This window comes from Homo sapiens, chromosome 7 (genome assembly GCF_000001405.40).
Source record: "Homo sapiens chromosome 7, GRCh38.p14 Primary Assembly".
NCBI classification, from domain to species: domain Eukaryota; kingdom Metazoa; phylum Chordata; class Mammalia; order Primates; family Hominidae; genus Homo; species Homo sapiens.
The window spans coordinates 99,777,735-99,804,290 of NC_000007.14; the positions used below are offsets into that span (position 1 = coordinate 99,777,735).

The following is a 26,556-nucleotide window of genomic DNA, read 5'->3' on the forward strand; positions in this document are numbered from 1 at the left end:
AAGGATAATTATTTCAAAACTGATAAGAAATCCTCCTCATATTTTCCTTGGAGCCTCTTTGTCTTGCTTTACTTCCCTGAATTTGCACATAGTTTATAAAGGCATGCAGATTCCCATTGCAATACTCTACACCCAAATAAATATCTTCTTCTTTCAGAGAACTTCTCTCTGTTTGTAGTTAGGTTGACAAGAGCTTCATCCCAAGAGGCTTTGGGCTGAGACTGTCCTCTGTGCAGTGGGGTAAACTCATCATAGAAACAAGTCTATCCAATGGAAGTTTCCAGAATACTCACCCCCACACTTTTCCATACTTTTTATGACATTCCATGTCAAACATACAAAAGCCCTGGGAGGAGAAACAAAATAATATTTGATTATTATTTTTAATGTACTTAACCCTGCCTCTAATTGGGATGAAAACAGTCGAAGCCAATGAAATCAGACTTGCTGGCAGTTAGAGGAAGCTTATTTGGAGACGTCATAAAGGAAATAAGAGAAAACAGAGGAGGTATTTGAAAAGGGAAATTTAAAATCACTCTTGAATTCTCTCCAAGTGTTGTGGATACTGAATGACTTATCCTTGTGTATAAATACTAAGTACCTCTTTGTCTTTCTGATGTCTTTTTGCTTTTTCATGTGTTGTCTTGAAAATCTCATGAATCCCTGAATGATCACCTCCAGGGGCACATGGGGAAACTGAGGCCAAGGGAAAGTGAATTAGCATCAGAAGAGAATGCACAGTGTTTTATCTCTTTGTCATCCTTTTCATTTATTTCATGAGCTCGCTCTAGAGTTCTAGCAGAATTGGAAAGTTACAGACACCAGGGAACTCCTTTAGTCTAGCAGATTTAGGTAAGTATGAGGCATGTTGTTGAGTGAGAAAATGAACGAGTGACAGAATGACAAAGTGAACTCACTTTCCAGTTTTCCAGCTTAACATGGAAGTTCTGAGAAAATGTCCCCTCTACACATCGGACACAGCAAATTACAACACTTGCTCAGAGTTTTCACTGAAACTTAAAAACAAACCTTCCTGTATCGACATTTCAGGGGTGACATTTTAACTGTGCAAACAAAGGTCCCAGGAATGTGCATCTTGGGGGTACATCTACTAAAGAGTTGACCTGGAAAAGGTGGCGGGGAAATTATTGCTTTTGCACAGGGAAAAAATATGAAATTCCTGGATAGTAATTAGACAACAAAGCCCTCACCTGAGAGAATTAGAATCTGAGAAACAAGCCTCAGGTATGTGGGAAAGATGATGTAAGCCAAAGAGCTGACTGCTGCGGCTGGCCATGTGGACATGGGCTCCTAATTTTCCATCCAGGGCCCAGACCCTGGGCAGAGCATCAGACTAGGTTAGGCACAAAGGCTCGGCCAAAGTTCACGGTCCACGTGGCACATATTATATTCTATTCAGCAAAATTAAATATTTAATAATTTCATCAAATCATCCCCTTTCTAGTGATTTTGCATGTGATTCCGCCTTTGTGTAAAAAAAAAACCCCACAAACTCATTTTGTGCTTAAATATCTGAGTTTGATTGACCACCACTGTCTCATCTCAGTTATATCCAGTCTGTGATCAGACTCACCCATAAGGTGCAGCCTTTGAAGGAAAAGAAATAAAGCAGAACCCCTTTGTTCTGTCTCTCAAAGCTGCAAAAGATGTCATGGGGAGTAAGAGCTGGGGTAGAGCCATGGAGATACCCTCAGGGAATTTAGCATTTTTCGGAGAGGATTGAAGCAGGTGCAAATGACCCAAAGGTAAATACCTGGGCTCCCTAATAAATTGAGTTTCAAAGCTGTCCAGAAGGAAGGGAAAAAAGGCTACTCAAGAGCTCTTGCTACAGAGAGGAAAGTTTGACTCTCATGTACACAGATAACAAGTCACAATCAGGGGGTCCTTTTCCTACTTTTAATACTAACTAAGTATGACTGTACCTTCCTGGGAACCTGCATAGAGCAAAAAGAAAACCTTCTTTATGGCGCTCACAAAGTTTGCACATCAAGTTCTGAGCATCAGGTTGCTGATCTACCTGAGATTTGGGCTGTTCAACTGAGGCAAACCTGAGGTTCCTGAGAGTTAGCAAGAGAGCCCTTGGGTAAACATTGCCATGTTCTGGGTGATGCCTACACACTGTTTCTGAAAGTGTAAAACTTCAGACCTTCCCCCTGAGGAGAAGCATTTTTACTGATGGAACTAAGCTGCTCTTGGCAATCATAAGAAGCAAAAGAGTGAGCTCAAAAACACTCACCTTATGGTAGGACAAAATATTTCCCAAAAAAGGCAGAGGTGTGGGCCCTGGAATTCCAAGCTTCTTAAAAAGTCCATGTGAATGGGTTCCATATCTACAAAGTGAAACAGAAATCAAGTCACAGCGATTGTGACTTTATAGATATAGGGGTTGATGAGTCATTGACTGAGGAACTGGAATGCTCAAGAGAACGAGGTAACATTAAGGCAAGAAATAATAACAGTAACTCTGACGGCAATGATTATATTTGTTCATCAGGTCCTTTCCTGCCTCCACCATGAGACACCAAAAAGTTACAATGATTAGCTCAAAGCAGCTGAAGTCTTCATGGTCCCAGTCCTGGAATGAATATTTGATAAATGTTCTCAAATGTGAATGATCCTGAGAGGTTCAGGCAGGAATTCTTCCAGGTCACTTTGTTCCTTTACGTCTATTTAGTAAGTGGCCTCTCCCCAAATTTGGGGATTCTCATCCTAGGTAGAAAGGGTGACATTTTTTTGTCTTCCGCAGTGATGATGAGATTTTGCATCACTGCAGCCACTCAGTCACAGAGGGTCACTGAGAGCCTATGGTGACCCTGTCTTTAGAATTTGCTCAGAGGCTTTTATGCTTTCCCTTCCCTCTAAGCTCTGACCCTGTTTTAGGATCTGGTTCTTCTTAAACCGTCATTCACAGAGAGGTCTTGGAGGAGTCACAGAGTCCTTATTTCTACAGATTGACAACTGTGCTCAAGGCTTCCATTGACCTCATAGAAATGTGAGCAGCTTTCAGCTACACCTCAGTCTCTGTGATCAGATGATCTGGTTGATTTGACCTATTGGGAAGGATGATTGACTCATATTTCCCTGAATGACAGTGTGCAGAAGAATCACAACTAAAGAACCAATTTCCAGGTCATTCCTCCTCTTGTGGAATCTAGCCTTCCAACTGGTGATATTCATCTGATTAGCACAGTGCCAGTGATATGGTCTGAATCTGTGCCCCTACCAAAATCTCATGTTGAAATGCAATCCCCAATACTGGAGGTGGGGCCTGGTAGGAGATGATTGGATCCTAGGGGCAGTTTCTCATCGTTTCACACCATCCCGCCTTAGGTGTTGTCCTCGTGACAATGAGTTTTTATGAGATCTGGTGGTTTGAATGTGTGGCACCTTCTCCCCAGCCTCTCTTGCTTCTGCTCCAGCCATGTAAGATCTGTCTGCTTCTCCTTCACCTTCTGCCATGATTGTAAATTTCCTGAGACCTCCCTAGAGGAAGAAGTCACTATGCTTTCTGTACAGCCTGCAGAACCATGAGACAATTAAATCCCTTTTCTTTATAAATACCCAGACTCTGGTATTTCTTTATAACAATGCAAGAAAAGACTAACATAGCCAGACATGCTAATTTTTCTCAAGGTGGTCAATCACAAAGCAGTCAGTTTATTGCATCTGCCCATCAACTATCTCTGTAGGAAAACCCATTAAGGCTGGTGCTCCCTAAGGCAGGCCTGCTTGCAACTCATCTTTGATGGGTCATGTATGAACTCCCCGAACTGGGGTTTCTGGATGTCTGAAGACCTTCCCAGTCTGATGTTACTGAGGGTTGGAAGACTGGAGGAAGAAGAAAAGCTGATGGAAGAGGTCACCATCCTTCAACTCAACCATGAATCTGCTAGTCCCACAAGGTTGGCCCCAGAGAGGCAAATTAGGAAAATGTAGCTGAAAAGCATGGTGTGTATAAATGGATCCATATGCTTCATATGGGCTTTTAGCTAAAAGGTAGGGGCCTTCGAATGTCCACATTCCCTCCTGTTTATAACAAAAGATGTAGTATTCCACATAAGTAAACATAAAATGTTCCAGACAGTTGAATTAAAACCTTGTTTTCTCTTCTTTAAAGGGTAGCCCTTAAGACAGTATAGGTTCCAAATATTCTGTACAAATCCGGTGACTGTGATAATATGTGGTAAAATACAACTGAGAAATGGCGTGGAGGCTCATGTTTGGGGGACCCAGCAGAAGCAGCATAGCCAGGCCCAATAGTGCATTTGGATCTTTGCCCCAGAACAGTTAGTGGAAGCGTGTGCACCATCTACCAAAACCAGGGTGGCCTTGGGTTTTCCCACTCCTGTTCCTTCCTTTGTTGTCACAGCCATGGCAAATAAATGACACTAATCTCTGCTTCTAAACTTTCTACAAGTTACATGACCTCTCAGGCCAGGACAAACTATTGAGTTAATGTGTCAGCAGCATTGGTCCCCAAGGAATGATCTAGGTGAATGTCTAGACTCACATGGTTCCGTGTCAAGGCAGAGGCTAGGCTGGGCAAACTGTGTAGTTTCTTTCCAGCTCCCCTCTGTTTGGTAGAGTAATGCTGCTTTTGGTTCCAATGAAGAGGCTAACAGAAAAGCCAGTCATCTATTGCACTTAATTGTGTTGGCCTAAGGAGGGCATTGTCTGCACTACAGTTTCTGACTCCTGGGCTGCATCAGCATCATCTAAGGCTAAGGTATTGTCTGCCCAGCTGCCTGAGTCTGTAGTGACCACCCCACAACATGGCAGACCACACACAGAGTGACACAGATGGTGCCTCTGTGTCCAGGCTTCAAGCAGATGAGATGCAAACATGTTTGTCCTTTGAGTGACCTCCACTACGGGGCCAGGACCCATGAATATCTCTTTGGAGTTCTACCCTGAGGGATGAGGAATATTTTCTTACTCCATTTTGATCCTACCTGGATGCTTTTGCTGTCATCACTGGCTCACAGTCTTGCTTACTCCTCTGCCCTGAGCGTTTAACATAACCTGCTAAGCAGGTTTGTTTGAAATAGGGGTATTAAAATGAACGTTGGGAAGGTATATTTTAAAAGATATATGCAATCTTGTCATAGAGTTATACATTTGTGCATTAGATTCATATTCCTGACATGATTCTGGAAAGGTGAGGTTATTTTACACACATTTATTGTAACAAATACTGAACTAACAGCCCTCATTTGTCACCTAGAAGGAACATGTTGGAAATAGACTATCTCCAAAAAAATCTGGTTTAAAATAGAATGAATTTAAGCCATATCAATTAGTGTTAAAAGGTCAGAAGATGGAAAATATGTTGCCACAACTCACTGAATTTCTAACCTTTCTGTGAAAGAATTAAAATGAGGTTTATATTTTCTATTTTCCTGTCATTATGATTCCCAAATCTTAGTAAGAGTGAAATTGAGGTAGAAGTGAAATGTGACATGTGAGAAGCCTCCACTACCCACAGTGGGGAGTGACTCTTCTCTCTACCTGCTCTAGGATGGCAGGATCCCACCAGTGAGAGGATTCATCCTCTTCTACTGCAACATAAAGGGGAAAATGTAAAATCCAAATTCTAGTTTAGTAAGGAGAAGCCAGGTTTCCACAGCCAAGTTTGGAATGAGATCCGTCACTACTTTCCTTCCTTATCCTCCTTGGGTCCAAACTATTGTCAAGTAGATCATCCTCAATCAATGCTATCCCAAAACCCTTCTTGCCACTAAAGATGGATGGGGAAGATGCTTATTTATTCCTTTATAGAGCTGCATAAGATCTACAATAACCTCTATATGTTTGTAGCATCCAACACTTAAGCTACTGCTCCTTGAACATCTTTTTTTTTTTTTTTTTTTTTTGAGACAGCCTCACTCTGTCACCCAGGCTGAAGTGCACTGGCATGATCTCAGCTCACTGCAACCTCCGCCTGCCGGGTTCAAGCAATTCTCCTGCCTCAGCCTCCCAAGTAGCTGGGAATACAGGCGTGCACCACCATGCCCAGCTAATTTTTGTATTTTTAGTAGAGACAGAGTTTCACCATGTTAGCCAGGCTGGTCTTGAACTCCTGACCTCAGGCAGTCCACTTGCCTTAGCCTCCCAAAGTGCTGGGATTACAGGTGTAAGCCACCACGCCCGGCCTGAACATCTTTTTTGATCTTCAAAACAGATAAGGGAAAGAGAGGCCTGATTAGCACCCCAAGTCCAAGGAAACAGAGAAGAGGAGCCTGGACAGTTACTCACAGATAGAGGAGCACCAGGCTGACAGCCAGGAGAAGCCAGGTTTCCATGGCCAAGTCTGGGATGAGAGCCATCACTACTTTCCTTACTTATCTCTCTCCTCTGAGTCTTCCTTTCAGCTCTGTGTTGCTCTTTGCTGGGCTATGTGCATGGAGCTTTCCTGCCCTGCACAGCAGTGATTCAGTGAGGCTGTTGGATTGTTTATATGCTAGAGAAGGAGGCAGGGCTGGAGCTGCAGCCAGTAGCAGGGCCACCTGTGCTCTGCCTGCAGTTGGAAGAGGCTTCTCCACCTTGGAAGTTGGCAAAGAATCACACACACACCACTCACTGACCTCCTTTGAGTTCATATTCTATGAGGTATCATAAACAACTCAATCAATGTTACTGGGGAGTCCAAGGGTTCTGGGTTCTTATCAGAAACTCAAGTGGAGCCATTGGCATAAAATCTATTAAATCGCCTCTCTCCTGCCCTTGTCTCTATGGCTGTCCTCATTCCAAAATACTTGAAATTCATCCCAACAAGCCACACCTACAGATCTTTACCTATGCCTGGAGTGTGCCTGTGCCCCCTAGAAGACTCCTACACATCCTTCCAAACCCAGACAGACAGAGCCTTCTCTTAGAGTCTTTCCTCACCAAACTCCTCACACAGATGTAACCATTTCCTCCCCTGGGCACTTTCCATCCCCTTCATGCAATCCTATTGTCCTCTTTCCTCTTTACCACCATTGTGTTTCCACGCCTGTTTCCCTGAACAGAGGTGAGCTCCTCAAGGGCATAGTCTAGTCTTATTCCCTGTCATGGCTCTGGTCCCTACCAGGGTGCTGTACACACAGTGGGCAACTAGAAAGGCTGGTGGAGTTGACTTAGCTGAGATTGCTGGGCCTCTGCATGTCATCCCTTCTGACTTTCTGGTGACTTCTTAGGTCATTAATACAGCCAGAGCTCTTGGCTGTGCCTCAGCTGCTGTCTCTGCACTTTCAGGCTGGTCCTCTGTGATTCTGTTGGCAAGGGGACCCCTAAAGGAGAGACAGGGCATGGATGAGATGGAGCTGATGGCTTGGTGGAATAGTATCAATTTGTGCTGCTTCCTGTGAACCCTTCAAAGGTCCTGCCATAGATAGCAAGTTAGACAGGTTCTTTGCCAAAGAGTGGCCCCTTCTCTCTGGAAATACTGCATGTCTGGAAACAGGAGAGAAAGGAGAGAAGAGAACAGCTGCCCAGATAGCCAGATGGACCCCAACCACCTCAGCCAGCAATGATGGGGCAGTGGTCACTGCAGGTCACACAGCATCAAGGACTCCAATAAGATGGTCCCAGCCTCTTGGGGGTGGAATTGGAGTTCAAAGCAAATGGCTTCCTTTTTGACAAGTGGAGGATTTTCTAATGGGAGGAGGGCAGGCCCCAGGAGCTGGTAGAGATGAGGCCTGTAATAGCAGTTGCTGCCACCTGTGAGCTCCCTGACCCATTCCTGATGGGAGAGATCTCAGTGATGAGGGTGTGAAAATTATATCAGCTCATTATCGTCACTCACACCCAAGTTCTGTGTCTGCCTGGCCTGATGAATGGATTGCATGACAAACAAAATCACAGCGTTCTTAAAACTCAATAGAAATAGGCGATGTTTAAGCTGTGCTTGTTCGCTTCCTTCTCTCTTTATTCTTTCTCACATTCAGCCCTCCTGCAGAAACTGATACTCACCCCAGAAAGACACCTTTTCCCATCCCTCTGGCCCCTAAGCCTCCAGGGCTGCTCGGCACCTGGCCTGAGTGGGTGAACATCATGCCAGATTCCTTGTCAGATTCAAGGCCAAGTGGGTGAATGTCATGTGCAGTGTTGTGCCAGGTGTGTGCCGGGAGCCACATGTTCCTTGGGGACAGCCTAGTGAAGCAGGAGACAAATAAACATGCTTGGATGGTGGTATGCATGTGCTGTAACTCTGGAATCCCTGGGATAAAAGAGCCGTACAGAGAGGCACCTAAGGAAAGAAGTGACAGCAAGCATCAAACCAAAAAGGACAAACATGGGAAGGTGGTGACAATCCCCAAGAGAGGTAGGATAAAAGTCCAGGGAATTTAGATACATTTCTGTCTCCTTTCAGTGGCTTTGCTGAGCACATTAAGTAGGGGCCATGCTACTATCCCCAGTTTACAGATGTAGAAACTGAGGCTCAGTGACTGCAAGTAGCTTCCCAACTGCTACTGATCACAATAAAACTTTATAAAAAGCTAACAGGAAGGGAGATATTAGGTCCTCTCCTGCTCTGGTGCACCTGCCATTCCCTGCTACGCATCACTATGGGAAATAGTGAGACTCAAGGCTGCAACCACAAATTGGTTGGGATTTGTGTTCCTGTCTCAAGGGTTACTCCCAGCGGCACCACCATGGGTCTTCTAGAACAAAGGACTCCATCTCATCTCAGCAGGGAGAAAGAAAGATGCAGTTTCTGACCATATCAGTGGCATTGCTGGAGGATCTCCCTCTCTATGTTCCCACACTGAGAGATGCACAGAACACATTCAGAGAAGTAAAGATTCCAGTGTCATCTGATAACTATCAACAACTTCATTACCTCACCTAAACCGAGAGCCTTTCTTATATTTTTTTTAAACAAAACTCTTACAGAAACAAATATGTTTTCTTCTTGCCTCTAAAACACATACTTGGTAAGATGATTTTTATTCTAAGATGAGGATTTACCTGCCCTACAAACTTTAGGAGGTGGTCTGATTGGTTTGAATCTATACCAACAGTGAGAGACTAATCATCGCTTGGGACTTAAATGCAGCCAGCACTGTGTCCTAACTAATGCAGTTGGTGTTGTTCTGCAAAGGAAAATAATTGAAGGCAAGTTCTGCCACTTAATTCCACAGAAGGTAACATCTTCTAACATGTAGGGACTTGACTACTGAGAGCTGCACTGACTGTGTCAAGGAAGATACATCCAACCACCACATGCCTCTCCCCTGCTCATTTCCTGTATTAAAGCCTTCATCATGTTTTTTAAAGCTGTGCTCTCAGTACTGTGCTCTTAGTACTATGCTTCCAACCAAAGTTGGTCTTGGTCAACTTTGTACCCTAAGCACATAGAGCAGAGACAAATAAGCAGATAATTATAGTACAGCTAAGGAAAAATAATCATACAAGTATGAGAAACATAATGTCCTTATCAACAATGAAAGACTTATCTTCTTTCTCGTTCTAGTTTCATTGGATCAAAGTTCAATCTCAACATTCAGAGAAGCATTAGGCTCAGATATCAGCATCAGTGGACAGGCTGTCCAGGGACTCAACGTTGTAAAGAACACCATCACTCTGATATTTTCATCCTTTTATACTGGTAGCCCAAGTGGTACCTCTCTTCTGGGAAGCTTATCCTGACTTCCAGTAGCCAAGTGAATTGCTGATGGTATGCGGAGGCAACATTGCTCTGGAATTACATGTGTATTCGATTCAAATTTCACAAGTCATGATCTTGAGGATGTAAACCAAAAAAAAAAAAGAAGAAGAAGATTATCTCTCTGTAACTCAGCTGTCAAGTCCCCATTCTTCTCAGTAGGGGAAAACTTGATTTTGCATGTTGGGGTGACCACGTGGTATCTAAGTTTTGCTCTTATTTATTTTTAAAATTGTTTTGAGGCAGGGTGTCACTCTGTTGCCCAGGCTAGAGTTCAGTGCTGTGATTATAGCTTACTGTTGTTTCCACCTCCTGGGCTCAAGTGATCCTCCCACCTCAGCCTCCTTAGTAGCTGGGACTACAGGCATGCAACAACGCCCAGCTAATTTTTAGTACAGATGGGACCTAGCTATGTTGCCCAGGCTGATCTCAAACTCCTGGCCTCAAGTGATCCTCCTGCTGCTGTCTCCTGAAGTTCTGGGATTTCAGATGGGAGCCACCACACCTGGCCTTTAAGTTTTAGTGGCTGGAGGAGGGGATTAGCTAATGCTTTTGGGCCTCATGCTTGGGGGTGGTGTTGAGGAGAGTGACAGGTGCATGGTTATGCTCTCTTGGCACTGGAGGAGGTAGGTGTCTCACTTTCATGACTTTCATGCCACTGTATGTTGGTTAGCCTGTATGCCTGCTGTGTTCAGGGCATGTGGCAAGCACTAAATATTAAAGAATCAAAATCCTTGCCCTTATGAAGCTAGCACTCATATAGGAGAAAGAGACACCAAACAGCCACACAAATAATACTGAATTACAAATTGGGATAAATGCTATGAAGTAAAAGAACCCTTTACTTAAGCTCCCAGTGGTATCAGACACAGTTGATCCTTCTTTCTTCCCTAAACTCTATCTCCCTTTGAGAGACATGAATACAACAGCATCAACAAGACTTGACAGATGGGAAGTGTGAGACCTTGGATATTCCTGGGCCTGTTTCCTCATCTGTCCATGGGGGAAACTGACCAGAATTGGCCTGTGAAGACCAAGGTTCTCCTTGTCCCAATCAGAAGACCCCTGCAGGACTGCCTGCCTCTCAGCCTCTGTGTCCCTCTAGGATTTTTGAAGACATTCCCTGTTCTCTATTCTCCTCTTATAGATCACTTAGGGTCCACCAGGTCTTCCAGCCCAATCAAGGACCAACAGCTCCTGTGGGCGGGAGGAAGAGCAAAGGTGGGATAGGATGGAACTGGGAGAAGATAACCACCCATTTAGGCCCTGAACTTTAAATTCTGGATTGGTTTCTTAACTGAGATTGCAGAGAAAAGGTTTCACACATGCTCACACCCACTCACACACAGCTCTTACTCCAGGAAATGATAGTGAATACGTGTCATGCTAAGTACTTCCCCTGCATTAACTGATTCAATCTGTCCAACAATCATGTGGTATTGATACTGTTATGATCCCTATTTTACAGATGAGCAAACTAAGCCACAGGAAGGTTAACTGACCCATTAAAGTTTACATCACTAATTGCTTTAGCAGAGCCAGGATTCAAATTTAGATCCTCTAGCTTGAGAGCCCAGGGTCATAATCTGTTAACACAGGCCCAACCTTGCCCAAGGCCACACAGAGTTAGTGAGGAACTAGCAGTGCAGCCCAGGCCTTCTGAATGGGTAGTGGCCAGAGTTCTGCCCCTACTCTGGGACAAAGTGAGGTCCCCTAGCAAACTCGTCAGTGAGGGCTGGGGTGAAGCAATGTCCTTCCTTCTCTCTGCCTGCCCTTGTCCTGAAGTATAAGCACTTCTGTAGACTTTATGACAAAAAAGAACAGGAGCTCTCTCTCTCCTGCCGCCTTGTGAAGAAGGTGCCTTCTTCCCCTTTGCCTCCTGCTATGACTGAGAGTTTCCCGAGGCCTCCCCAGCCATATGGAACTGTGAGTCAATTAAACCTCTTTTCTTTATAAATTAATAAAAAGAAGAAGAGGAGGAGGACTCAATCATAACTGTTGGCTTTCTACTCCATTCTAGAGTGTCTATTTCTTGATAAAGTAACCACTAACATCTCCATGGCACTTCACAGTTTATACAGTTCTTTCCCAACTCTCTTAACATCAGCAAGAAAACTTTGTAAGATGAGTAGTGTTAGGATGATTTAACTCATACTTTATAGACATGGGAACAGACAGCTGGAAAGAGACTTGCAGAAGTGACTATGCCATGAAGCCAAGGCATGGAGCAGGATGCTGTGATTACAAATTGTGCCGGTAGCATTCTTGCTGGGATTCCAAGGAGGCTCCTAAAATAACTTGGCAGGTTGTGTCAGCCACACATGTGATAAATATTTCTCTCTACACCTCCCAGCACACTGCCAGTGTAGTTATAAAATGCTACAGAGCTGGTTGTGACCACGAAAACGACATGTGCATCCTACACTTTACTAAATTGTGTATTCAGTGAACTCATGGTTTCAGCAGAAAGGCAAATGTTGCAAATAATTCTGACATGTCACAATCAGAATCATTTGTGTTTCCAGGAAAGCAAAAAGTAAAAGGTGATGAAACCAACAGGTAAAAGAGAAATCAGAGAATGTGAGGCAAATTTCAGAAGAGCACGTGGAAGGGAATTAATGAAACAGGAAATTAGTGAAGGAAATGAAGATCATCATGAGATGTGTTACAAAACGTCAGCACAACCTACACCATTTCTCATACTCCTTATTTCAGTAACCCCCTAACTTGTTTTGCCTGACCCTGGGCAGGACTTATCCAGGGAATTCCCTACTCAGCCACCAGAAAGCGTCTTGAAAAACATAGATCTTGAAACATGTTTCTTTCCTTGTCTTCAGTCCCTCCAACTGCTCCTATCACCCACAGGATAAAATCTAAGTATCTCTAGGAAGTAACACAAGACCCTTTCTGATCTGGCCACTGTTAGCTTCTTCATTCGGTCTCAGTCCACTTTTCCAAGTGTGCATGATGTTTTAAGCAAATGGTGTGACTGGACACTCCTCAGGCTCTACAAAAATGACATATCCGTGTCTCCTTGTGTCCACACAAGCTGTTCTTCAGCATAGAGTGGGTCCAACCCAGCTTCCATCTGGTGCATTCCTAACCATCCTTCAGGAGTCAGCCAGGGCATCATCTCCCCAACAAGCCTCTTCCATGACCTCAGCAGGCAGGTGCTGGAGAGGGTCCCACTGGTGCTTTCTCACAGTTCCAACAGCTGAACACACAGTGGCTGTCATCCTGGGATGCTCACAGCATTCACATGCATGGGGAGCTTCTAAAAACCACAGGTTCACTGGGTGTGGTGGCTCATGCTTGTAATCTCAACACTTTGGGAGGCCAAGCCGGGCAGATCATGAGATCAGGAGTTCGAGACCAGCTTGGCCAATATTGTGAAACCCCATCTGTACTAAAAATACAAAAATTAGCAGGGTGTGTCGGTGGGTGCCTGTAATCCCAGCTACTCAGGAGGCTGAGGCAGGAGAATTGCTTGAATCTGGGAGGTGGAGGTTGCAGTGAGCCAAGATCGGGCCATTGCACTCCAACTCCAGCCTGGGTGACAGAGTGAGACTCCGACTCAAGAAACAAACAAACAAACAAAACCCCCACAGGTTCCTGGGCCTACCAGAAATGAGAAGGGCTTGCCCAGGGGCCTAACAATGAGGAGGCAGGGACCATTGAGGGCCATCTGGAGAGAATCCAAAGTGTCCCATCAATCCAGAGACATGAAAAAAAGGCATCATGCCCAACTCATTCCATGAGGGCCATAACCACATGATCCAAATCAGAAAAAAATCAGGACTGCAAAGGAAGATGGCATGCCAGTCTCATTGATGAGCATCAGTGCAAAAATCCTAAACAAAACAGTAGCAAGCCACAGACAGCAATGATCAAAGATGACACACCATGACCAAGTTGAATTTAAACCTGAGACTCAAGAATGGTTAACAGAGAAATAGTATAAATACCAATGATATCGTCAACAGGTTAAAGGAGAATGGTTATAAGATCATCTCAATGGTTTTAGGAAAAGGCTTTGATAGTTCAATAACAATATATTAATAATATATGATAATAATATTCAACTTTCATTTATGATATAAAAACCTTCAACAACTAATAGCAGGGAATTTTCTTAATCTGATGAAAGCATCTACCAAAAAAAACTTAGAGAAAACATTATTCTTAGTAGTATAAAAGCATTATGCTCTTATACCTTCTTAGTGTTTACCATGTGCACATATTACCTTTTCAAAACTAGTAACATTTTTTTTAAACAAAAAAAATCCTATCAATTAACTTACTTTTTTCTGTAATTGAAAAGAATATGATAGCTTGTTCTTGTCAGAAGTTCAGCTTGTGATTCACCTGGGGTCAACACAGGACAAGGTTTAATAATCACTGAAATAATTAAACTTTGTAATGCCTCATGAGGCTGCTTGAACCGACATGATTTCAAGGGCACCGAGAGGCTGGAGGAAAGCAGAGGGTCAGCAAGTTCATTCAGCTGAGATCATCTCAGTTTACAAACTGGGCTTTATGACCTTTAATTGGGACATGAGTTTCTTTGATAATCAAATGAAAGGAATGAACCATCTCTCTAGAATAAACCAGCAACCAGCATTTTTGCATGAAGTTCCAAGGGGACCCCAGAGAGACATGTTACTAGGAAGCTTGCCAAACCCAGTGACTTTCCAGGGGACCTGCCCACCCAAGTGCAGCCCACGCCTGACACCCAGCCCTCAATGCCCTATTCTGATCGGTTACATGGTTATCTCCAGGACCATGGGGCCCTCTCTATCAGTGTGAATGGGTTCTCCACTGTGCCCTGTGCTATGACACAACACAGGGCAACAGAACCATAAGGGAAGGTGTGAACAAGACCTTTGCAGACAGAGCCATACTGAAACCCTAGGTAGGGTACTTCACCACACGGAGGGAACTGGAGAGACACCAGGAGTTCTGGGAAGGCAGAGATAAGGGGATCTGGAACTACCTGGGGTGAAGTCTTCCTAAAGGAGTGACTGTTTGCATTATCATAGAGAAGTGTTTGGACAGAAGAAGGGAAAGTGAGAAGCATTTCAGGCTGTGAGAATGGTCCAGCTTTTTTTAGTAATAAAAAAATAGAAAACGTAGAAATTACTTTTAACTCTGTGTATTGAATACGCAAGAAATGGCATCCCAATCCTTTTCTTTACTATTATTTTTGTTATTTAGACAGTCTTGCTGCATTGCCCAGGCTGGAGTACAATGGCACAATCATGGCTCACCGCCACCGCAGCCTCCCAGGCTCAAGCAATTCTCCTGCCTCAGCCTCCTGAGTAGCTGGGACAACAGGCATGCATCACCATGCCTGGCTAATTTTTTGATGTTTTGTAGACATGAAGTCTGGTATTGAACTGACTTGCCTAGGATGGTCTTGAACTTCTGGCTTCAAATGATCCTCCTGTCTCAGCCTTGCAAAGCACTGGGATTACAGGCATGAACCACTGAGCCCAGCCACTTTATTATGAACAAGGTTGAATATTTCTGTATTTTTGACAGCTGCATTTCTTCTTTGATAAAATGTTCATGTCCTTTGCCCTTGTGATACCTGTTGGAGTTGCTTTGTTTTTCATGTCAAGCTATAATAAATATAATTTAACTGGCAAAGAGAGAAAGGCCCAGCTTAACCCTTATTATCATTGTTGAGTCATTTTTTGGTTGCAAGGTACAGTGTCTGTATCGAGGCAGTTTCAATTACTGCTAATAAAGAAGCCATCTGGCCAGGAATCATGCCAGCATGTGGATATTATACTTTTAGGGCAAAGGTTCTGCCCTCCACCGGTCAGCAAGAGGCTTAAGGCTGGCCGGGGACCCCAGATAACATCACCGGGCTTGGCAGGCACCACAGTGACCTGTTCCATGCCTGCTAGTGTATATTTCTGAGGTTTAAAATATGTATAGGGATGAAATTCACATAACATAAAATTAACCATTTTTTTATGATTATCCAATCTCAGGACTGAAAATTAACCATTTTAAGGTGAAAAAAATCAGTGGAATTCAGTACATTCTGTGTTCTGCAATCACTACCTCTATCTAGTTGCAAAATGTTCCCATCATTCCAAAATAAAGCCTGTACCAGTTGAGCAGTTTCTCCCCACTCTCCCCTCTCCCCAGACCCTGGCATCCACCATTGCACATTCTGTCTCTGTGGGCTTCCCTCTTCTGGATATTTTGTATGATGCAATATATGGACTTTCGTTTCTGGCCTTCACTTCATAGTAAAGTGAGGCTATCCATTCTGTAGCATGTGTTCATCCATTTTTTTTGCGGTTCATCCATTCTGTAGCATGCGTCAGTACTTCATTCCATTTATGGCCGAATAATATTCCATTGTATGGATAGACCACAATTTATTTATCCATCCATCGATGGACATGTGGGCTATTAGCACCTTTTGGCCCTTGTGAATTGGACTGTTAGAAATATGTGAGTCCGTGTATTTTAGTAACTGTTTTTAATCCTCTCAGATCTATAACTTAGAGGGGAATTGCTGGGTCACATTGAAATTCTGTTGAACTTTTTGAGGAAACTCCAAGCTGTTTTCCATAGCAGCAGCACCGTATTACATTCTCACCAGCAATGGGTGAGAATTCCAATTTCTCCATGTTCTTGTCAACACTTGTTATCTTCCTTCAAAAAAAAAATAGCCATCTGAGTGGGTGTGAAGTGGTAATTTTTCTGGGATTTTGAATTTGTGCAACCACAAACAATTAGGAACCTGTGAGAAGATGCCAGAGACAGAGGAGGACAAGAAAAAGGTGTGGCTGGGAACCTGACGCAGGTGGTCCCTGGGCTTTCTATTTTTGTTTGTTTGTTTGTGTTTGTTTTTGTTTTTGAAATGGAATCTTGCTCTGTTGCCCAGGCTGGAGTGCACTGGCACAATCTCGGCTCACTGCAACTGCTGCCTCCTGGGCTCAAGCAATTCTTGTGCCTCAGCCTCCCAAGTAGCTGGGATTAGAGGCATGCACCACCACGCCCAGCTAATTTTTTGTATTTTTAGTAGAGATGGGGTTTTGCCATGTTGCCCAGGCTGGTCTTGAACTCCTGAGCTCAGGTGATCTGCCTGCCTCGGCCTCCCAAAGTGCTGGGATTACAGGCAGGAGCCACCGTGCCCAGCCAGGCTCCTGGGCTTTCTATGGACTCCAGAGACATCTCGTTCTGTAGAGAGAAGACAGTGAGTAGGGATCCTTGGAATATGACTGACGTGCAGGCCCTGTCTGAGTTATTTAAACTTCCTCAGCCTCAGTTGCCTAATCTACAAAATGGGTGTTAATAATTCTGTCTTTCCCTCCCAAAGGAGCTCAGAGGAGACCAGACCCTGGCCTGTGATCTGCAGTGGGCTTGGGACCTAGATCTGCAAGTCTGGCTGGTGTTGGCTTTGACTAGAGAGAACGGGGAATATTACCAAGCCTAGTACCTGACTCTTGGCAGTCCTTCCATAAACGTTTGCTCAATATGAAAACAGTTAGTTCAGTAGTTGCCGAGAGACAGGACAAGAGTTATAGAGTAACCCGACATTACATAACGTATTTTCTTTTTATCAAGAAGGGGAGACATGAGTTCAAGTTTTACTGAACAAATAATTGAAAGGTTGGGCGCTTGCTAAGCAGGGTCTCTGAGCCACAGAGTGACCTACGGAAGGGAGCATTGGAGAAGGCAGGAATTGGAAGGTGGGAAACAGCCAGATCAGACCAGACATGTGATTAGGAGGAAATGAAAGGACAACTGGAACATATTGTCAGAATGAAGTCATCACAGTAGTCCAGACCCCTCCAAATCTGTTGTTTACTCACGTGACCGTGGGCAAAATCCTTTTACTCTCATTCCCTATCTAGCCATTAGAACCACATGTTCTTGATGCCCAGGATTCTATGAGCTAAGTTCAAAGCTTCCAAGGTTGCAGACCACGAGACAGAGATAAAATGCAGGCATGGTGGCTGAGATCAGCAGCCAGCTAAAATATGTTGCAGTTTAAATAATACCAGCAGTGATGACACATATCTAATATTTTCCTACCATCTTACTGGCATAATCCTTGTTGAATATTAAACAATTAACTCAACTTTGCACATGAACTTCAGGAAGTTCAGATTCTAACGACTACTGCAGACAGGTTGAGAATATGAGTAGGCTTACCCCAAAACACATTATTAGGGTCAATTCCAGTGCCTGCCATTGAAAGTCAAGGTTTCTTTGACAGGTTTAATTCTCTCAGAATATGTATCAAAGTAGAACCTGAAAGACAGCTACTTACATGCCCAGAAATTATTATTATTATTAATTATACTTTAAGTTCTGGGGTACATGTGCAGAACGTGCAGTTTTATTACATAGGTGTATATGTGCCATGGTGGTTTGCTGCACCCATCAACCCGTCACCTACATTAGGTATTTCTGCTAATGCTATCCCTCCCGTAGGCCCCCACTCCCCGACATGCCCCAGTGTGTGACGTTCCCCTCCCTGTGTCCATGTGTTCTCATTGTTTAACTCCCACTTATGAGTGACAACATGCAGTGTTTGGTTTTCTGTTATTGTGCTAGTTTGCTGAGAATGATGGTTTCCAGCTTCATCCATGTCTCTGCAAAGGACATGAACTCATCCTTTTTTATGGCTGCATAGTATTCCACAGTGTATATGTGCCACATTTTCTTTATTCAGTCTATCATTGATGGGCTTTTGGATTGGTTCCAGGTCATTGCTATTGTAAATAGTGTTACAATAAACATAAGTGTGCATGTGTCTTTATAGTAGAATGATTTATAATCCTATGGGTATACACCCAGTAATGGGATTGCTGGGTCAAATGGTATCTCTAGTTCTAAATCCGTGAGGAATTGCCACACAGTCTTCCACAATGGTGGAAGCCACCTCTTCCCCGAGGGGCTCTGTCCCAGGGAGATGGGGGTTTCATCTATAAGTCCCTGACTGGGGCTGCTGCCTTTTTTTCAGAGATATCCTTCCCAGAGAGGAGAAATCCAGAGAGGCAGTCTGGCCACAGTGGCCTTACTGAGCTGTGGTGAGCTCCACCCAGTTCAAACTTCCCAGCAGCTTTGTTTACACCGCGAAGGTAAAACCACCTACTCAAGCCTCAGCAATGGAAGATGCCCCCCCACAGCACCCAACCAAGTTCGAGGGTCCCAGGTCAATCTCAGACTGCTGCTGTGCTGGCAGCAAGAATTTCAAGCCAAGTGAATCTTTGTTTGCTGGGCTCCATGGGGGTGGGGCCCACCGAGCCAGACCACTTGGATCCCTGGTTTCAGCCCCCTTTCCAGGGGAGTGAACGGTTCTGTCTCACTGGCGTTCCAGGTGCCAATGGGGTATGGAAAAAAAAAAAAAAAAACTCCTGCAGCTAGTTCGGTGTCTGCCCAAATGGCTGCCCAGTTTTGTGCTTGAAACCCAGGGCCCTGGTGGCATAGGCACCGGAGGGAATCTCCTGGTCTGCGGGTTGCAAAGACCATGGGAAAAGTGCAGTATCTGGGCCAGAGTGCACAGTTCCTCAGGCTCAGTCCCTTATGGCTTTCCTTGGGTAGGGGAGAAAATTCCACGACCCCTTGTGCTTCCCAGGTGAGGCGACGCCCCACCCTGCTTTGGCTCACCCTCCGTGGGCTGCACCCTCTTGTCCAACCAGTCCCAATGAGATGAACCAGGTACCTCAGTTGGAAATGCAGAAATCACCTGCCTTCTCTGTCGATCTCACTGGGAGCTGCAGAACGGAGCTGTTTCTATTCCGCCATCTTGCCAGCAATTCAGAAATTATTTTTTCCAAAGAAAAGGCCCCATGCAAACTGGCTGAAACAAAATGGGTTTATACCCATGAAATAATCCGGGTGACTTTAGTCAATAAAACTCAATGCTGGTAAAGTTACTTTAAATAATTTTGGTAAAGTTATAACAACAAAAGCCAAAATTTAAAAAAAAATTTTAGGAAAGAGGCAGGGACTGCGTGGTATTCTTTTAGTGCTGTGACAGGCTGGTAGAGATGGATTCTCCTTGATTTATTTATTTATTTATTGCTAGAAAGTGACTAGAAACCATATGAAAATATGAAAATATAAAGTTATTTGGTAAAAGTAAATATATGTACAAATCTAAAACCTGTGTTATTGCAACTTAGGCTTGTAGCTCCTCTTTTAATTATTTTATAGGATATAAAAGACCAAAGCATAACAAATAACTATGTCTATGTAAATGGGTACATGATATAAAAAGATGTAATTTGTGACATAAATAACATAAAGGAGGGAGTGCAGAGCTGTAAAGGAGTAGTGGTTTTTAATGAAACTGAAGTTAAATTGTAATCAATTTAAAATACATTGTTATAACCTTAGGAAGTTTTATGTAATCACCATGGTAACCACAAAGAAAATATATACAGAATACACAATAGAAAATGAGAAGGTAATCAAAACATGTCACTATAAAATATCAACCAAATACAAAGAAAGGCAATAAGAAAATGAGGGACAAAAAAGCTGTAAGATATGCAGAAGACAAATAACAAAATCACAGTAGTAAGTCCTTCCCCATCAGTATGTTTTAAATGTAAATACATTAGACCCCTCAATATAAAGACATAGATTGCCAGAGTGAATAAAACAAATAGGATCCAACTATATTCTGTCTACAAGTGACTCACTTTAGATCTAAAAACATGCATACATTGAAAGTGAAAGAATAGAAAAAGACATTCCCTGCAAATAATAATCAGAAGATAGAAGGAGTAGCTATACTAACACTAGTGTCATACAAGATTGACTTTAGTTCAAAAACTGTTACAAGAAACAAAGAACATTACATAATGATAAAAGAGTGAATTAACCAAAAAGATATAATAATTATAAACATATATGTACTAAACATCAGAGCTCCTAAGTATATGACACAAACATTGATAGAATTAAATGAGAAAATAAATAGCTCTACAATAATAGTAAGAGGCTTCAACAGTCAACTTTCGATATTAAATAGAACAACTAAACAGAGGATAATAAGGAAATAAGGGACAAGAACAACACTATAGGCCAATTAGACCCAACAGACATATATAGAACATTCCACCCAACAGTAGTAGAAGACATTTTTCTCAAGTGCATATAGAACATTGTTCAGGATATATCATGTATTAGGCCACAAAACAAGTCTTAATAAATTTAAAAAGATTGAAATCATGTAATGTATCTTTTCCAATCACAATTAAATAAAACTAGACATCAATAGCAGGAGGAAAACTGGAAAATTCACAAATACATGAAAATTAAAAAACATACTCTTAGACAACCAATGGGTCAAAGAATAAATCACAAGAGAAATTAGAAAATATCTCAAGACAAGATATTTTTTGTTTCGTTATTATGAAAACAAAAAAATACCAACTGATGAGATGCAGCAAAACAATGCTAAAAGGGAAACTTGTAGTTATAAACATTTCCATTAAAAAAAAAGTGCCCCAATGAACATATGTGTGCATGTGTCTTTATGGTAGAATATTTACATTCCTTTGGGTAAATACTCAATAATGGGTCAATAGTGGGTCAATAATGCTGAGTCAAATAGCAATTATATTTTAAGTTATTTCAGAAATTGCCAAACTGCTTTCCACAGTGGCTTTACTTACAATAACAAAGACGTGGAATCAACCTAAATGCCCATCAATGATAGACTGGGTAAAAAAAAAAATGTGGCACACATACACCATGGAATACTAAGCAGCCATTAAAAATAATATGATCATGTCCTTTGCAGGGACAAGAGCAGAGCTGGAGGCCATTATTCTAAGTTAATTAACACAGGAACAGAAAACCAAATACGGCATGTTCTCACTTATGAGTGATAGCTAAACATCAAGTACACATGGACACAAAGAAGAAAACAACAGACACTGGGGCCTATGTGGGGGCAGAAGGTAGGAGGAGGGTAAGGGTAAAAAAAACTGCCTATCCTGTGCTAGGTTTGTTGTCCCGGTGACAAAATTATCTGCACAACAAACCCCTGGGACATGTAATTTACCTATATAACAAACCTGTTATATAATTACCTATGTAACAAACCTTAGGTTCATGTACCCCTGAACCTAAGCTAAAACTTAAGAAAACAGTGCTCCCAGATGGCCATATGTATAGCTGTGCTGCAGAGAGACATAGAGGAGCACCCCCACCCTCACCCACTGCCCTGGACCCTTGTAATCACCCCACTTCCTATAGAATGGAAGAAAATTTTTGCAATCTACCCATCTGACAAAGGGCTAATATCCAGAATCTACAAAGAACTAAAACAGATTTACAAGAAAAAAACAAACAACCCCATCAAAAAGTGGGTTTGTCATAGATAGCTCTTATTATTTTGAGATACGTCCCATCAATATCTAATTTATTGAGAATTTTTAGCATGAAGGGCTGTTGAATTTTGTCAAAGGTCTTTTCTACATCTATTGAGATAATCATGTGGTTTTTGTCTTTGGTTCTGTTTATATGCTGGATTATGTTTATTGATTGGCATGTGTTGAACCAGCCTTGCATCCCAGGGATGAAGCCCACTTGATCATGGTGGATAAGTTTTTGATGTGCTGCTGGATTTGGTTTGCCAGTATTTTATTGAGGATTTTTGCATCAGTGTTCATCAGGGATATTGGTTTAAAATTCTCTTTTTTTGTTGTGTCTCTGCCAGGCTTTGGTATCAGGATGATGCTGGCCTCATAAAATGAGTTAGGGAGGATTCCCTCTTTTTCTATTGATTGGAATAGTTTCAGAAGGAATGGTACCAGCTCCTCCTTGTACCTCTGGTAGAATTCAGCTGTGAATCCATCTGGTCCTGGGCTTTTTTTGGTTGGTAAGCTATTAATTATTGCCTCAATTTCAGAGCCTGTTATGGGTCTATTCAGAGATTCAACTTCTTCCTGGTTTAGTCTTGGGAGGGTGTCTGTGTCCAGGAATTTATCCACTTCTTCCAGATTTTCTAGTTTATTTGCATAGAGGTGTTTATAGTATTCTCTGATGGTAGTTTGTATTTCTGTGGGATTGGTGGTGATATCCCCTTTATCATTTTTTATTGTATCTATTTGATTCTTCTCTCTTTTCTTCTTTATTAGTCTCGCTAGCAGTCAATCAATTCTGTTGATCTTTTCAAAAAACCAGCTCCTGGATTCATTGATTTTTTGAAGGGTTTTTTGTGTCTCTGTTTCCTTCAGTTCTGCTCTGATCTTAGTTATTTCTTGCCTTCTGCTAGCTTTTGAATGTGTTTGCTCTTGCTTCTCTAGTTCTTTTAATTGTGATGTTAGGGGGTCAATTATAGATCTTTCCTGCTTTCTCTTGTGGGCATTTAGTACTATAAATTTCCCTCTGCACACTGCTTTGAATGTGTCCCAGAGATTCTGGTATGTTGTGTCTTTGTTCTCGTTGGTTTCAAAGAACATGCCTTCATTTCATTATGTACCCAATAGTCATTCAGGAGCAGGTTGTTCAGTTTCCATGTAGTTGAGCGGTTTTGAGTGAATTTCTTAATCCTGAGTTCTAGTTTGATTGCATTGTGATCTGAGAGACAGTTTCTTATAATTTCTGTTCTTTTACATTTGCTGAGGAGTGTTTTACTTCCAACTATGTGGTCAATTTTGGAATAGGTGTGGTGTGGTGCTGAAAAGAATGTATATTCTGTTGATTTGGGGTGGAGAGTTCTGTAGATGTCTATTACGTCCACTTGGTGCAGAGCTGAGTTCAATTCCCGGATATCCTTGTTGACTTTCTGTCTCGTTGACTGTCTAATGTTGACAGTGGGGTGTTAAAGTCTCCCATTATTATTGTGTGGGAGTCTAACTCTCTTTGTAGGTCTCTAAAGACTTGCTTTATGAATCTGGGTGCTCCTGTATTGGGTGCATATATATTTAAGATAGTTCACTCTTCTTGTTGAATTGATCCCTTTACCATAATGAAATGGCCTTCTTTGTCTCTTTTGAGCTTTGTTGGTTTAAAATCTGTTTTACCAGAGACTAGGATTGCAACCCCTGCCTTTTTTGGTTTTCCATTTGCTTGGTAGATCTTCCTCCATCCCTTTATTTTGAGCCTATGTGTGTCTCTGCACGTGAAATGGGTTTCCTGAATATAGCACATTGATGAGTCTTGACTCTTTATCCAATTTGCCAGTCAGTGTCTTTTAATTGGAGCATTTAGCCCATTTACATTTAAGGTTAATATTGTTATGTGTGAATTTGATCCTGTCATTATGATGTTAGCTGGTTATTTTGCTCGTTAGTTGATGCAGTTTCTTCCTAGCCTCGATGGTCTTTACAATTTGGCATGTTTTTGCAGTGGCTAGTACTGGTTGTTCCTTTCCATATTTAGTGCTTCCTTCAGGAGCTCATTTAGGGCAGGCCTGGTGGTGACAAAATCTCTCAGCATTTGCTTGTCTGTAAAGTATTTTATTTCTCCTTCACTTATGAAGCTTAGTTTGGCTGGATATGAAATTCTGGGTTGAAAATTCTTTTCTTTAAGAATGTTGAATATTGGCCCCCACTCTCTTCTGGCTTGTAGAGTTTCTGCCGAGAGATCAGCTGTTAGTCTGATGGGCTTCCCTTTGTGGGTAACCCGACTTTTCTCTCTGGCTGCCCTTAACATTTTTTCCTTCATTTCAACTTTGGTGAATCTGACAATTATGTGTCTTGGAGTTGCTCTTCTCGAAGATTATCTTTGTGGTGTTCTCTGTATTTCCTGAATTTGAATGTTGGCCTGCCTTGCTAGATTGGGGAAGTTCTCCTGGATAATATCCTGCAGAGTGTTTTCCAACTCGGTTCCATTCTCCCCGTCACTTTCAGGTACACCAGTCAGACATAGATTTGGTCTTTTCACATAGTCCCATATTTCTTGGAGGTTTGTTCATTTCTTTTTATTCTTTTTTCTCTAAGCTTCTCTTCTCGCTTCATTTCATTCATTTCATCTTCCATCACTGATACCCTTTCTTCCAGTTGTTTGCTTCGGCTACTGAGGCTTTTGCATTTGTCACATAGTTCTCGTGCCATGGTTTTCAGCTCCATCAGGTCCTTTAAGGACTTCTCTGCATTGTTTATTCTAGTAAGCCATTCGTCTAATCTTTTTTCAAGGTTTTTAACTTCTTTGCCATGGGTTCAAACTTCCTCCTTTAGCTTGGAGTAGTTTGATCGTCTGAAGCCTTCTTCTCTCAACTCATCAAAGTCACTCTCTGTCCAGCTTTGTTCCGTTGCTGGTTAGGAGCTGTGTTCCTTTGGAGGAGGAGAGGTGCTCTGATTTTTAGAATTTTCAGTTTTTCTGCTCTGTTTTTTCCCCATCTTTGTGGCTTTATCTACCTTTGGTCTTTGATGGTGGTGATGTACAGATGGGGTTTTGGTGTGGATGTCCTTTCTGTTTGTTAGTTTTCCTTCTAACAGTCAGGACCCTTAGCTGCAGGTCTGTTGGAATTTGCTGGAGGTCCACTCCAGACACTGTTTGCTTAGGTGTCAGCAGCAGAGGCTGCAGAACAGTGGATATTGGTGAACAGCAAATGTTGCTGCCTGATCATTCTTCTGGAAGTTTTGTCTCAGAGGAGTACCTGGCCGTGTGAGGTGTCAGTCTGCCCCTCCCAGTTAGGCTGCTCGGGGGTCAGGGACCCACTTGAGGAGGCAGTCTGTCTGTTCTCAGATCTCAAGCTGCATGCTGGGAGAGCCACTACTCTCTTCAAAGTTGTCAGACAGGGACATTTAAGTCTGCAGAAGTTTCTGCTGCCTTTTGTTTGGCTATGCCCTGCCCCCAGAGGTGTAGTCTACTGAGGCAGGCAGGCCTCCTTGAGCTGTGGTGGGCTCCACCCAGTTCGAGCTTCCCAGCTGCTTCGTTTACCTACTCAAGCCTCGGCAATGGTGGGCGCCCCTCCCCCAGCCTCACTGCCTCCTTGCAGTTTGATCTCAGACTGCTGTGCTAGCAATGAGTGAGGCTCCATGGGCATAGGAACCTCTGAGCCATGCGCAGGATATAATCTCCTGGTGTGCCATTTGCTAAGACCATTGGAAAAGCCCAGTATTAGGGAGGGAGTGACCCAATTTTCCAGGTGCCGTCTGTCACCCCTTTCCTTGGCTAGGAAAGGGAATTCCCTGACCCCTTGCACTTCCCAGGTGAGATGATGCCTCACCCTGCTTCAGCTCATGCTCAGTGTGCTGCACCCACTGTCCTGTGCCCACTGTCCAACAATCCCCAGTGAGATGAACCCGATACCTCAGTTGGAAATGCAGAAATGATTCGTCTTCTGCGTCACTCACACTGGGAGCTGTAGACTGGAGCTGTTCCTATTTGGCCATCTTGGCTCTGCCCCCTGAAATCACTTTCAATATCCCCCACTAGATATTGACTGTTATATCAAGTATTAAGTATAAAACTTTTAATTGACAATAGTATAACTGTGAATGGCTTCTGGTTTTGTTTTTAATTCTGTGGATTGTGTTTAAACAATTCTAAAGTGTGTTCGTTTTCTGAGATTTTAAGTGGTATTGCACAGTTGTACACATTTATAGAATGTTTAAAGAGCATACCCTTGTAGAGCTTCAGGTCTAGAATTTAAATTAATCTGTTATCACAGAAAAAAAATAGAAAGAAGAAAGATCTCAAATCTACAATCTGACCTTATACATTAAGAAACTGGAAAAGAAAAATATACTAAACCCAGAGCTAGCAAAAGTAAGGTAATAATAAAGATTAGAGCAAAGAAAAACAAAATCAGGAATACAAAAGCAATAGAGAAAATCAATGAAACCAAGAGTTGGTTCATTAAAAGATCAACAAAATGGTCAAACTTTTAGTTAGATACAGTAAGAAAAAAATACACAAATAATGGAAATTAGAAAAGAAAGAAT

The 26,556-nt window shown here is 42.6% G+C and overlaps 1 protein-coding gene across 2 annotated transcripts in view, besides 56 other annotated features; it reads right to left on the minus strand.

The window, feature by feature from the left end:
* CYP3A4 (cytochrome P450 family 3 subfamily A member 4) overlaps nucleotides 1–6,450 on the minus strand; it is a 27,218-nt gene extending 20,768 nt beyond the window's left edge. For both annotated transcript variants that reach the window (NM_001202855.3, NM_017460.6), the window contains exons 1-3: nucleotides 6,277–6,450; nucleotides 2,258–2,351; nucleotides 294–346 (exon numbers count right to left, since the gene is read on the minus strand). In NM_001202855.3, the coding sequence (NP_001189784.1) occupies nucleotides 294–346; nucleotides 2,258–2,351; nucleotides 6,277–6,347 (218 nt within the window). In that variant the 5' untranslated portion in view covers nucleotides 6,348–6,450. The remainder of the gene's footprint in view (nucleotides 1–293; nucleotides 347–2,257; nucleotides 2,352–6,276) is intronic.
* Nucleotides 6,398–6,812: a promoter, noted in NCBI's record as "-362 to +53 basal promoter". NCBI's record gives the evidence for it as "EXISTENCE:reporter gene assay evidence [ECO:0000049][PMID:10570062]".
* Nucleotides 6,398–7,702: a promoter, noted in NCBI's record as "-1.2 kb to +53 promoter". NCBI's record gives the evidence for it as "EXISTENCE:reporter gene assay evidence [ECO:0000049][PMID:10570062]".
* Nucleotides 6,398–18,966: a biological region, named in NCBI's record as "CYP3A4 5' regulatory region". NCBI's record gives its function as "regulatory_interactions: CYP3A4 | LOC110366355".
* Nucleotides 6,400–18,966: a promoter, noted in NCBI's record as "12.5 kb construct based on reported coordinates on AF280107 (PMID:17344340)". NCBI's record gives its function as "drives expression of transgene in liver, small intestine, and kidney" and the evidence as "EXISTENCE:reporter gene assay evidence [ECO:0000049][PMID:17344340]" and "EXISTENCE:transgenic organism evidence [ECO:0001131][PMID:12781341, PMID:12815159, PMID:12867495]".
* Nucleotides 6,445–8,293: a promoter, noted in NCBI's record as "-1843 to +6 promoter fragment". NCBI's record gives the evidence for it as "EXISTENCE:reporter gene assay evidence [ECO:0000049][PMID:12695546]".
* Nucleotides 6,483–6,507: a protein binding site, noted in NCBI's record as "DEC site". NCBI's record gives its function as "mediates downregulation by interleukin 6" and the evidence as "EXISTENCE:protein binding evidence [ECO:0000024][PMID:22728071]".
* Nucleotides 6,483–6,507: a protein binding site, noted in NCBI's record as "BTE". NCBI's record gives the evidence for it as "EXISTENCE:protein binding evidence [ECO:0000024][PMID:11495920]".
* Nucleotides 6,515–6,544: a protein binding site, noted in NCBI's record as "-93 to -65". NCBI's record gives the evidence for it as "EXISTENCE:protein binding evidence [ECO:0000024][PMID:11495920]".
* Nucleotides 6,521–6,578: a silencer, noted in NCBI's record as "57 nt difference between CYP3A4 and CYP3A5 containing two E-box motifs and CCAAT box". NCBI's record gives its function as "negatively regulates promoter activity" and the evidence as "EXISTENCE:reporter gene assay evidence [ECO:0000049][PMID:17548528]".
* Nucleotides 6,521–6,578: a protein binding site, noted in NCBI's record as "57 nt element". NCBI's record gives the evidence for it as "EXISTENCE:protein binding evidence [ECO:0000024][PMID:22292071]".
* Nucleotides 6,541–6,558: a protein binding site, noted in NCBI's record as "Sp1 site". NCBI's record gives its function as "mediates activation of promoter by xenobiotics" and the evidence as "EXISTENCE:protein binding evidence [ECO:0000024][PMID:15100175]".
* Nucleotides 6,567–6,586: a protein binding site, noted in NCBI's record as "C/EBP site". NCBI's record gives its function as "positive regulation of promoter activity" and the evidence as "EXISTENCE:protein binding evidence [ECO:0000024][PMID:12695546, PMID:15100175]".
* Nucleotides 6,567–6,590: a protein binding site, noted in NCBI's record as "-243 to -220 NFI site". NCBI's record gives the evidence for it as "EXISTENCE:protein binding evidence [ECO:0000024][PMID:19706729]".
* Nucleotides 6,596–6,626: a protein binding site, noted in NCBI's record as "pER6". NCBI's record gives the evidence for it as "EXISTENCE:protein binding evidence [ECO:0000024][PMID:11991950, PMID:15578590]".
* Nucleotides 6,599–6,622: an enhancer, noted in NCBI's record as "ER6, also known as pPXRE (xenobiotic response element)". NCBI's record gives its function as "functions as an enhancer when multimerized; mediates activation by Nr1i2/Pxr, glucocorticoids, and vitamin D" and the evidence as "EXISTENCE:reporter gene assay evidence [ECO:0000049][PMID:9727070]".
* Nucleotides 6,599–6,622: a protein binding site, noted in NCBI's record as "pER6". NCBI's record gives the evidence for it as "EXISTENCE:protein binding evidence [ECO:0000024][PMID:20171174]".
* Nucleotides 6,599–6,622: a protein binding site, noted in NCBI's record as "pER6". NCBI's record gives its function as "may antagonize induction of promoter activity by Nr1i2/Pxr" and the evidence as "EXISTENCE:protein binding evidence [ECO:0000024][PMID:15499176, PMID:20171174]".
* Nucleotides 6,599–6,622: a protein binding site, noted in NCBI's record as "pER6". NCBI's record gives its function as "mediates positive regulation of promoter activity by xenobiotics" and the evidence as "EXISTENCE:protein binding evidence [ECO:0000024][PMID:10037683]".
* Nucleotides 6,599–6,622: a protein binding site, noted in NCBI's record as "pER6". NCBI's record gives its function as "mediates positive regulation of promoter activity by xenobiotics" and the evidence as "EXISTENCE:protein binding evidence [ECO:0000024][PMID:9727070]".
* Nucleotides 6,599–6,622: a protein binding site, noted in NCBI's record as "pER6". NCBI's record gives the evidence for it as "EXISTENCE:protein binding evidence [ECO:0000024][PMID:20171174]".
* Nucleotides 6,599–6,622: a protein binding site, noted in NCBI's record as "pER6". NCBI's record gives its function as "may antagonize induction of promoter activity by Nr1i2/Pxr" and the evidence as "EXISTENCE:protein binding evidence [ECO:0000024][PMID:20171174]".
* Nucleotides 6,605–6,609: a protein binding site, noted in NCBI's record as "KLF11 site A1". NCBI's record gives the evidence for it as "EXISTENCE:protein binding evidence [ECO:0000024][PMID:25076120]".
* Nucleotides 6,631–6,650: a protein binding site, noted in NCBI's record as "HNF3 site". NCBI's record gives its function as "mediates activation of promoter by xenobiotics" and the evidence as "EXISTENCE:protein binding evidence [ECO:0000024][PMID:15100175]".
* Nucleotides 6,660–6,665: a protein binding site, noted in NCBI's record as "KLF11 site A2". NCBI's record gives the evidence for it as "EXISTENCE:protein binding evidence [ECO:0000024][PMID:25076120]".
* Nucleotides 6,661–6,687: a protein binding site, noted in NCBI's record as "-237 to -211 DR1". NCBI's record gives the evidence for it as "EXISTENCE:protein binding evidence [ECO:0000024][PMID:17344340]".
* Nucleotides 6,731–6,739: a protein binding site, noted in NCBI's record as "KLF11 site B1". NCBI's record gives the evidence for it as "EXISTENCE:protein binding evidence [ECO:0000024][PMID:25076120]".
* Nucleotides 7,011–7,016: a protein binding site, noted in NCBI's record as "KLF11 site C2". NCBI's record gives the evidence for it as "EXISTENCE:protein binding evidence [ECO:0000024][PMID:25076120]".
* Nucleotides 9,339–9,351: a protein binding site, noted in NCBI's record as "DR1-A". NCBI's record gives the evidence for it as "EXISTENCE:protein binding evidence [ECO:0000024][PMID:23295386]".
* Nucleotides 9,486–9,498: a protein binding site, noted in NCBI's record as "DR1-B". NCBI's record gives its function as "positive regulation of promoter activity" and the evidence as "EXISTENCE:protein binding evidence [ECO:0000024][PMID:23295386]".
* Nucleotides 12,132–12,415: an enhancer, noted in NCBI's record as "-5950 to -5663 enhancer fragment". NCBI's record gives its function as "CCAAT/enhancer binding protein-responsive enhancer" and the evidence as "EXISTENCE:reporter gene assay evidence [ECO:0000049][PMID:15778453]".
* Nucleotides 12,474–14,272: an enhancer, noted in NCBI's record as "XREM (xenobiotic responsive element module), also known as DE (distal enhancer); -7.8 kb to -6.0 kb; XbaI/BglII fragment". NCBI's record gives the evidence for it as "EXISTENCE:reporter gene assay evidence [ECO:0000049][PMID:10570062]".
* Nucleotides 13,706–13,726: a transcriptional cis regulatory region, noted in NCBI's record as "dNR3". NCBI's record gives its function as "contributes to enhancer activity" and the evidence as "EXISTENCE:site-directed mutagenesis evidence [ECO:0005528][PMID:10570062]".
* Nucleotides 14,036–14,057: a protein binding site, noted in NCBI's record as "eNR3A4". NCBI's record gives its function as "mediates induction by rifampicin" and the evidence as "EXISTENCE:protein binding evidence [ECO:0000024][PMID:19074998]".
* Nucleotides 14,108–14,125: a protein binding site, noted in NCBI's record as "dNR2". NCBI's record gives its function as "promotes enhancer activity" and the evidence as "EXISTENCE:protein binding evidence [ECO:0000024][PMID:10570062]".
* Nucleotides 14,152–14,172: a protein binding site, noted in NCBI's record as "5' dDR3". NCBI's record gives its function as "mediates response to vitamin D" and the evidence as "EXISTENCE:protein binding evidence [ECO:0000024][PMID:11991950]".
* Nucleotides 14,155–14,169: an enhancer, noted in NCBI's record as "dDR3; dNR1". NCBI's record gives its function as "can function as a vitamin D-induced enhancer when multimerized" and the evidence as "EXISTENCE:reporter gene assay evidence [ECO:0000049][PMID:11723248]".
* Nucleotides 14,155–14,169: a protein binding site, noted in NCBI's record as "dDR3/dNR1". NCBI's record gives the evidence for it as "EXISTENCE:protein binding evidence [ECO:0000024][PMID:20171174]".
* Nucleotides 14,155–14,169: a protein binding site, noted in NCBI's record as "dNR1". NCBI's record gives the evidence for it as "EXISTENCE:protein binding evidence [ECO:0000024][PMID:15499176, PMID:20171174]".
* Nucleotides 14,155–14,169: a protein binding site, noted in NCBI's record as "dNR1". NCBI's record gives the evidence for it as "EXISTENCE:protein binding evidence [ECO:0000024][PMID:16513849]".
* Nucleotides 14,155–14,169: a protein binding site, noted in NCBI's record as "dNR1". NCBI's record gives its function as "promotes enhancer activity" and the evidence as "EXISTENCE:protein binding evidence [ECO:0000024][PMID:10570062]".
* Nucleotides 14,155–14,169: a protein binding site, noted in NCBI's record as "dDR3/dNR1". NCBI's record gives the evidence for it as "EXISTENCE:protein binding evidence [ECO:0000024][PMID:20171174]".
* Nucleotides 14,155–14,169: a protein binding site, noted in NCBI's record as "dDR3/dNR1". NCBI's record gives the evidence for it as "EXISTENCE:protein binding evidence [ECO:0000024][PMID:20171174]".
* Nucleotides 14,200–14,220: a protein binding site, noted in NCBI's record as "DR1/DR2-C". NCBI's record gives its function as "positive regulation of promoter activity" and the evidence as "EXISTENCE:protein binding evidence [ECO:0000024][PMID:23295386]".
* Nucleotides 14,200–14,229: a protein binding site, noted in NCBI's record as "HNF4 alpha site". NCBI's record gives its function as "mediates induction by Nr1i2/Pxr" and the evidence as "EXISTENCE:protein binding evidence [ECO:0000024][PMID:12514743]".
* Nucleotides 15,240–15,252: a protein binding site, noted in NCBI's record as "DR1-D". NCBI's record gives its function as "positive regulation of promoter activity" and the evidence as "EXISTENCE:protein binding evidence [ECO:0000024][PMID:23295386]".
* Nucleotides 15,274–16,903: an enhancer, noted in NCBI's record as "-10.5 kb to -8.8 kb intestinal enhancer". NCBI's record gives the evidence for it as "EXISTENCE:reporter gene assay evidence [ECO:0000049][PMID:17344340]".
* Nucleotides 15,465–15,484: a protein binding site, noted in NCBI's record as "DR1(III)". NCBI's record gives its function as "positive regulation of enhancer activity" and the evidence as "EXISTENCE:protein binding evidence [ECO:0000024][PMID:17344340]".
* Nucleotides 15,465–15,484: a protein binding site, noted in NCBI's record as "DR1(III)". NCBI's record gives the evidence for it as "EXISTENCE:protein binding evidence [ECO:0000024][PMID:17344340]".
* Nucleotides 16,904–17,829: an enhancer, noted in NCBI's record as "CLEM (constitutive liver enhancer module of CYP3A4); -11.4 kb to -10.5 kb". NCBI's record gives the evidence for it as "EXISTENCE:reporter gene assay evidence [ECO:0000049][PMID:14742674]".
* Nucleotides 17,402–17,427: a protein binding site, noted in NCBI's record as "G:E-box". NCBI's record gives its function as "positive regulation of enhancer activity" and the evidence as "EXISTENCE:protein binding evidence [ECO:0000024][PMID:14742674]".
* Nucleotides 17,453–17,478: a protein binding site, noted in NCBI's record as "F:CRE". NCBI's record gives its function as "positive regulation of enhancer activity" and the evidence as "EXISTENCE:protein binding evidence [ECO:0000024][PMID:14742674]".
* Nucleotides 17,583–17,608: a protein binding site, noted in NCBI's record as "C:HNF-4 site". NCBI's record gives its function as "positive regulation of enhancer activity" and the evidence as "EXISTENCE:protein binding evidence [ECO:0000024][PMID:14742674]".
* Nucleotides 17,748–17,772: a protein binding site, noted in NCBI's record as "B:HNF-1 site". NCBI's record gives its function as "positive regulation of enhancer activity" and the evidence as "EXISTENCE:protein binding evidence [ECO:0000024][PMID:14742674]".
* Nucleotides 17,767–17,793: a protein binding site, noted in NCBI's record as "A:HNF-4 site". NCBI's record gives the evidence for it as "EXISTENCE:protein binding evidence [ECO:0000024][PMID:14742674]".
* Nucleotides 17,781–17,809: a protein binding site, noted in NCBI's record as "F-ER6". NCBI's record gives its function as "promotes enhancer activity; antagonized by hepatocyte nuclear factor 4 alpha" and the evidence as "EXISTENCE:protein binding evidence [ECO:0000024][PMID:17764444]".
* Nucleotides 17,781–17,809: a protein binding site, noted in NCBI's record as "ER6 (CLEM)". NCBI's record gives its function as "contributes to induction by vitamin D" and the evidence as "EXISTENCE:protein binding evidence [ECO:0000024][PMID:19712670]".